At 42.3% G+C, this 7,262-nt stretch overlaps 4 annotated features.

The window, feature by feature from the left end:
- Positions 392–891: an enhancer, noted in NCBI's record as "H3K4me1 hESC enhancer chr15:98236083-98236582 (GRCh37/hg19 assembly coordinates)". NCBI's record gives its function as "activates a minimal SCP1, AML or CMV promoter by ChIP-STARR-seq in naive H9 embryonic stem cells {active_cell/tissue: H9 hESC(naive)}" and the evidence as "EXISTENCE:reporter gene assay evidence [ECO:0000049][PMID:30033119]".
- Positions 892–1,393: an enhancer, noted in NCBI's record as "H3K4me1 hESC enhancer chr15:98235581-98236082 (GRCh37/hg19 assembly coordinates)". NCBI's record gives its function as "activates a minimal SCP1, AML or CMV promoter by ChIP-STARR-seq in naive H9 embryonic stem cells {active_cell/tissue: H9 hESC(naive)}" and the evidence as "EXISTENCE:reporter gene assay evidence [ECO:0000049][PMID:30033119]".
- Positions 892–2,404: a biological region, named in NCBI's record as "P300/CBP strongly-dependent group 1 enhancer GRCh37_chr15:98234570-98235769".
- Positions 1,205–2,404: an enhancer, noted in NCBI's record as "P300/CBP strongly-dependent group 1 enhancer chr15:98234570-98235769 (GRCh37/hg19 assembly coordinates)". NCBI's record gives its function as "activates an origin of replication core promoter dependent on BRD2, BRD4, P300/CBP, MED14 and CDK7 cofactors, with strong dependence on P300/CBP, by STARR-seq in HCT116 cells {active_cell/tissue: HCT116}" and the evidence as "EXISTENCE:reporter gene assay evidence [ECO:0000049][PMID:35650434]".

Genomic DNA, 7,262 nt, shown 5'->3' with positions numbered 1-7,262 from the left:
TAGGCCATTAATAACCACAAACTGCTTGAAATAACCATGGCAACAACCAGTAGCTATGTACAGTACAATCACCCTGATTACCATAGAATTAGCACAAAACAAATGTTTGTTCTTTTCCTAAATAGATGTATTATGATGATGATAACAGCTTCCTATTTACCCCAGGTTTTCCCATCACCACTCCTACTCCAAACAATGGAAAGATGACATCTTTGCATGATATTTGTTTCCATTTCTTTTTTTCCTTAAATAAATTTTATTGTATATATTTAAGGTATGTTTCTGATTCTTTTCTAAAGAGCCTAGGACAGTGCAGAGGGGAATGGGTGCTAGCCTACCTTTCATTCCCATCCCCCTTTGGCTCAGTGATACACAAGAAAACGTAACACACACTTTGATTCATTGATCACCGTCTGGGCTCCAGGAGGAGGGATTATAACCTTTAAAAATGTGCCTGGAAGCTTTAAATTCAAATGGCCAGCCTGAACTGCATGTTAATTGAAATCATGTAATTTTGGTGTCTTTGGTATCCACAGAGCATGGGCCCCAAATTTCATCTGCTCCTGACACAGAGACGTAAACACACCCCAGCCTAGCGCATGTTAAGTTACCTGTCTCTGTGCCGCCATTGTGTACAACTCACAAAGACACAGCCAGACCAGGTATCATCGAGGTAGGCCAGCAAGTGAAGACTGAAGTCTAGTCTCAGCCTCTCAGCTTGCTGGCATTGTGAGCCGTGACGACAGCTGGCACTTGGCTGTCCCCAAAACCCCCTTTCACAGTACCCAGCACCACGCTTCCACATGCGATTGAAGCAATTAGCTGCCGTGCGGCTGATGTACCCCGCAGAGGACTGGTGGCTCGTCTGACACATCTGGGCACAGAAAGTAATTGAAACAGCTGCTTCCGCCCATATGGCAGCAAAAGCTGGTTGTGCAACGTCTGCTGCCTGGGCTGCACCAACCTCGGGCAAATTAGCCATCATTAATCCCCAGATCTGACCAGCATACACAGAGCCACTAATCAAGACAGCTGGGGGGTTGGGGGAGGTGGCTGAGAAGGACAGTCCCTTTAAGATTGCTAAATGGCATCCCAGGTTAAAAAATAAAACACACACACAAGCACAAATTGCAGTCTTCCTCTTCCAGAACACTTTCACTCCCTCTGCCTGGCGAGGACAGGCTGTGTCTGTTGGTGCTCCTCGTTAGGAGATTGCTAAAATAGCAGTGCGACTTTCTGGAAGTGTCACACTGCTCTATGCAAGCCTGGCATCCTGCAGTTATAAATAGCTGGTTGCGTGGAGAGTGAGAACACGGTATTGTGCTGTCGTGGTGAGCTGGCTAGCCATGAAGCCCAGAAAAACCACAGTAATTGGGGGCCTGCTTGAGAAAGGGGAACAGCACCTGACTTGGGTGGGGGAGCACAGGCAGCTCTGCCTCTCTTCTGCAAGGTGCCATGCATGGTTTGGGCAGGATTTGCCTTCCATCTGTCCACTGACCTCTCAGGGATGCGCCTTCTATTTATGACATGGAATTTTCAGGTAATGACTAAGAGTTAGTTGTTGCAAATGAGCCTTGTTGACAGGTGAAAGGTCACAGGCCATCTCGCAGGTAAAGGGTAGCTGTCTCACCTCTGACACAGACATTGATTAAAACACACGCTGCTGTAGCTTCAAAGGACTGTGTTGACTCAACTTCCACACTGTGGGATGGAATAGGCGGCTGTCTTATTTACATTCCAGAACTGATGTCATTATTCAGATGGCTCATCGTTATGCCTGACGGTGACCCATGTAGGTGGTGCAGTGCATCTGGGCAGGGAGTGGCAGGGGTGATGTGTCATCCCAGAGGTGTCAGAGACTCATCCTGAGTGGTAGGGGTACAAGCACAGGGTGGGTCTGCATGCCCCTGTCACTAACCCCTGAGGGCAGAGAGGCAGTCCAGACTTGGGGATTTCAGTTCTTTGAGAAATGGAAGTTTACATAATGAGTTAGATTTGAACAAAAAAAATTAGCTGCTATTAGAGTCATTGTCAATTACTCTGAGATAAGTGTTTTCTTCATTGGTAAGTCTGGACTTCAGACAGATAAGAAGACTTCAGAGAATAACTTCATCCTGTGCTTTGGAAGAGACAGAGGGGATGGAGAGGTCAGAGAGAACTTGATGCTTCTTTTTCAATTCAGCATGTCAAATAAATCACTAACTTCATCTTGAGTTCCATAAGGAGAAGGCTTTCCTGCAATAGAAGCTCTTGTCTCCACTGCACAGGCCCTGCAGACTTCTTCCTGGTGTCAGTGTGAGTTGATTCTACTTGCTTCTTTGGAGAATGTTTTGACTTTCTCCCCACTGTTGTTCACCTCTGCCAACCTGTTCTATGTGATAACTAACAAAAAAGGAATAATAAATAACCCTTGCAACATGAGACAGTTATTCAGATTGTTGCTAATCTTTCTCATCAGTGTTGAGGTCATTGTGATGACTGTTGTTTTCTGGCACTTTTGCTTAGGGCGTGAAGGGGAGGAGTGAAATCCTTCTGGAAAATATAACAGAATAGCAGTTTTTGCCGGAATAGCTACTTGCAGAAACGTGGTCAAAGGTACAGAAAAATATGTTCTGATATATTTTCAAACCCTTCCCATTGTAATTGTTATTATGTTGGGTTGACTTTTAAAGTAGAGGTTAGTTTTACCAACAGTAGGTGATGTGGTTTGGCTGTGTCCTCATCCAAATCTCACCTTGATTTATAATAATCACCTTGTGTCAAGGACAAGGCCTGGTGGAGACAATTGAATCATGGGTGCTGTTTCCCCCATACTGTTCTCCTGGTAGTGGATAAGTCTCACGAGATCTGATGGTTTTATAAATGGGAGATCCCCTGCACAAGCTCTCTCTTGTCTGCCACCGTGTAAGATATGTCTTGCTTCCCCTTCACTTTCTGCCTTGATTGTGAGGCCTCTCCAGCCATGTGGACCTGTGAGTCCATTAAACCTCTTTTCCTTTATAACTTACTTGTCTCAGGTATGTCTTTATTAGCAGCATGAGAACAGACTAATACAATAGGTTATTGTTGTTGTTATTGTTGTTTTGTTTTGTTTTGTTCTGTTTTTTTTGCATTCTTCCCCCTCAGATATTCCTTTAAGAGGATTCTTTAGCCCAATGGGCGTGTCTTCTTCTTTAGTGCATGTTCTGTGTTCTTGTCCATATTTCATATTTATTCCACTTTGGCTGCATGCTTTATGGGGTAGATAATTACTTACCACCATGCATAAATAATAGTATTTATTGCAAAGTAACAATTGCTCATATTTACTAATTTATTTTTATTAATGCATTTATTTGTCAAATATGTATTCAGTGCCCACTGTGTGCTAGGTACTGTGGTATAGCCACTGGGGATGTCATTGTGAACAAATTCTTGTCCTTGTAGAGCCCAAGGGAAAATGTCCCTTTTCCCTCCGAAGGTTTGCTGAAAGTCAGCTGACAAAAGGCAGATTAATAGGAGAAAAGGCACACAAACTTAATAACATGCACGGAAGGGGTGGGGAATCAAAGAGTGATTATCCCACCATGCAATGGGGTACAGATGGTTACATACCCTTTTTCTTAAAGGGAAGGGAGGTGGGGAAGTGTGGATGATTTTAGAGGGATAGTAAACAATTTATATGGGAAGTCAATGGGCTTGAAACACATACAATGGCCAGGGACAAAGTCTGTTTGGCCCATGCAGCAGACAATGCTTGTGACAAAACTCTGTCCTGGTGTGTTGACCGACTGCAGTCTTTCTTCCTGAGATATGAGTTCAGTTAATGAAAATTCCAAAAAGGGGCCAAAGGTAATTTCCTTCTTTGGTGAATCTGGACTTCAGGCAGATAAGGAAACTTCAGAGAGCAACTTCATCCTGTGCTTTGGGAGAGACAGAGGGGATGGAGAAGGTCAGAGAGAACTTGATGCTTCTTTCTCAGTTCAGCATGTCAAGGCACCCAGTTGTGGGGTATCAGCCTGAGCCCCAGCATCTTCATGGAGTTTGCAATCTAGTGATGGGAGACAAATGGGAGACAAAGAAGAAATGAATAAGTAAAATACACACACACATCATATATACACACACACACATGCATATGTATAGTATAGTATAGTATGCCCAATGGTGGTGAGTACTGGGGGAAAAAAGAATAAACATGGAGGAGGAGTGGCCATGATTGGGTGTCAAGCCCTCAGATTATCACTGAGGGGTGGACATCTGAGCAATGACTTGAGAGAAGAGCGGGCAAGAGTCAGGTGAACAGGACTGGGAAGAGCCTTCCAGTGGGAGAAGCAGCTCTCAAGGCAGGAGTTGTGCTCTGTGGGTTGGAGAGCACCAGGTACTCAGGGTAGCTGGAGGCAGGGGCAGGGGATGAGCTGTCGAAGTTAAAACCGGAGAGAAAGGGGTGATGAATGGGGGCACGGATGCTGTAAATCTTTGCAGTATTTATGTTTTTTCTAGATGAGATGGTAAACTACTGGAGAGTTTCAAGCAGCAGAGTGTTAAATTAAGCTTATCCTAAAGCTGCCTCCTTACATATTTCAAGTTCAGCCTGAAGGACTCTTCTTACATAGTGAGCTGTAAACTAACTGGATGTGTAAACAGACTATAACCTACTCTCGTGTCAATCACTGAGTTTCTGCCAATCACAGGTGGCCAACTGTTCAAACCGGGTTTAAATAAGGCGAACACTGAGCTGTAACCAATCCAGCTGTTTCTATATCTCACTTCGGTTTTCTGCATGTCATTCTCCTTTTTCTGCCCATAATTTTATCTGACTGTGCACAGCTCCAGGATCTGCCTGAACTTATTCTGGTTTGGGGGCTGCCCAATTTGGGAATTGTCCTTTGCTCAATTAAACTATTTTAAATTTAATTTGTCTAAGGTTCTCTTTTAACAAGAGTGATATATTCTGACTACAATTTTAGCAGAATATGTTGACTGCTCTGAAAATTGTTTGTAAAAAACAGGAGGAAGAAATAAGACCTGTTAGAAGGCTATTGCTATAGCCATGTAAGAGATGCCTCTGGCTTGGACCAGGTGGCCATGGAAGTGAGCGAGGGTAGAATCCGGATGCACGTTGAAGGCAGAGCCCAAGGATTGTCTGAGGAATCTCACGTAGAGTATGAAAGGGAAGAGTCAAGAACCACTACAAGGCTTTTGGCTAAGGTTCCTGAGTTTCTGCTCTGCACCAGACTCTGTGTTCAGCACTTTTCATTTATTATTTCACTCATTGAATCATGAAACCTTAGTGAGTTAGGCATAACTAAGATCTTCACCATGCTACAGAATTGAAGTGACTTGCCAAGGTCATGTTAGACGAGCAGTGACAGACACAGGTGGAAACCTGAGACTGTGTGACCAGTGCCCTAGAATTTCATCACTGCTCTTCTAGATGCCAAGGGGAGTGTAAAACTGGGAGCTAATTCTCAATGTTGGCTTGATTTTTCAGTCATTACTTGCCGTCAGCCATCCCCTTTTCTATTTCTGTGGCAGCTTCTTGTTTACGAGAACCGGGATGGAATGATTCTGATGTTATGCTTAGTTCACAGCCTCTAGTTAAGAACAACAAAAAACGACTTTGCCTGGATGGCTTTGTGTACCTTTATAAAACTGGGGTCCCCATCCCCAGTAAGTTCTTTATTTTTATTTACCGCACTGATTATATAATATCCCCTATTTCCTTAAATTTTCTTCCTCATGGGATAAAATTCCTGACCCAATCATGATAGAATGACTTCATCATTAGATAAATGTTTTCAAACATTATCTAGATAGTCACTGCTAGGACTTAGGTCTCTGAAATTTATTTTCTAGTGTGACCATATGTCCCCACTGAGCTTAGGGTGATGTAGTCAGGAGTCACATTTCAAAATTCATCAGATGCTTCTAAATGGAGTGTTCCTTGGGGAGTTACTTGACAGCATAGTATTTAAGAGTCCATGTTCTGAAGTAAAACTGCCTGCAGTTGATGGCTTGCTCTGCAATTCCTAACTGTGTGCCATTGGGTGAGTTACTTTACCTTTCTGTGCTTATGTTTCATCTTTTATAAAATAGAGATAAATAGTATCAATGTTAGAGAGTGGTTATAGGTATTGTTACCATGCATATGGTCCGTAGAATTACAGCCTAATAAATTCTTAGTAAATATTAGCAGTTTTAAAATCATCATCATCATCATCATCACCACCACCACCACCATCATCATTATATCACACAATCCTGGCTAAAATGTATCTCACCAAGTTTGGGTTGAATTGAAAACAGTCAACTGGAGATAAGTAATATTGACATTGCCTGCCTCAACCATTTAGATGTGTTTTCCATCTAAACACTGATATATTATTTGCATATATAGCTTAGACAATTACTAAAAACATATGCTTTTAAATTATGGATTTACAAGCAATTTGGAGACTATGACTAATTGTGATCCAGAGTCAATTACCGTCAGTCCAACTAAAAATTATGAAGCACTTTCCCAAACCCACCGGTAACATTTGGGAGGCCCAGGGAAAGAGCACAGACGGAGGATCACATACCATATATTTAAATATTTAAAATAGATTGCACCCTGGACTGTGTAGCCCATATCTGAGAATGACTGCTCCCTCCTGGACTCTGGATTGGATATATGATCATTGGAACTGAACTTTATGCTTCATTCTCCCTCCATGCACTAACAGTCCATTTACCTTTTGCCCCTGAAACCAGAATGACCTTGACGGCAGGTTCATAACAATGAGTTATCTCATGAAGGCAAGAAAGGAGTCTGATGGTTTCAGATAGCTCTGGTGGTAGAAGCCCTTGGAAAAACAGGTCCACACAGCCCAATAACATGCCCCAGCATCGCTAACATAAAAGAAATAGTCTTCATGCAGACCTCAAAGAATCTTATCTATTTGGACTTGCTAGAAATGAACTGCAAATGAACTTTGGGAAAAAGAGTATATTGTTCTTCCTTTTCAACCTAATTTTATGTTCCTAGAATGACTCTTTTCAAGAATGAGGGCTAGAAAAATATATAGAGAGAATTAAAATAGTACAGAAGAAAGACCCACAAGAAAACTACCTTTACCTTTCATAGGTCTAAGGTTTCTTTGACTTCCATCTCTTTTGTAATAAATAATGGATGACATTTTCACTAGACAACATGCTTCCCTGTTTTATCTCCAGGATAGACTTCTATTTTGCTTACTTGGCATTTGTTGATTCATCAGAGAGTTTTAATTGAGTTATCA

The sequence above is a fragment of the Homo sapiens genome, chromosome 15 (genome assembly GCF_000001405.40).
Source record: "Homo sapiens chromosome 15, GRCh38.p14 Primary Assembly".
Taxonomy (NCBI): Eukaryota; Metazoa; Chordata; class Mammalia; order Primates; family Hominidae; genus Homo; species Homo sapiens.
This window is presented reverse-complemented; position numbering and strand designations above follow the sequence as displayed.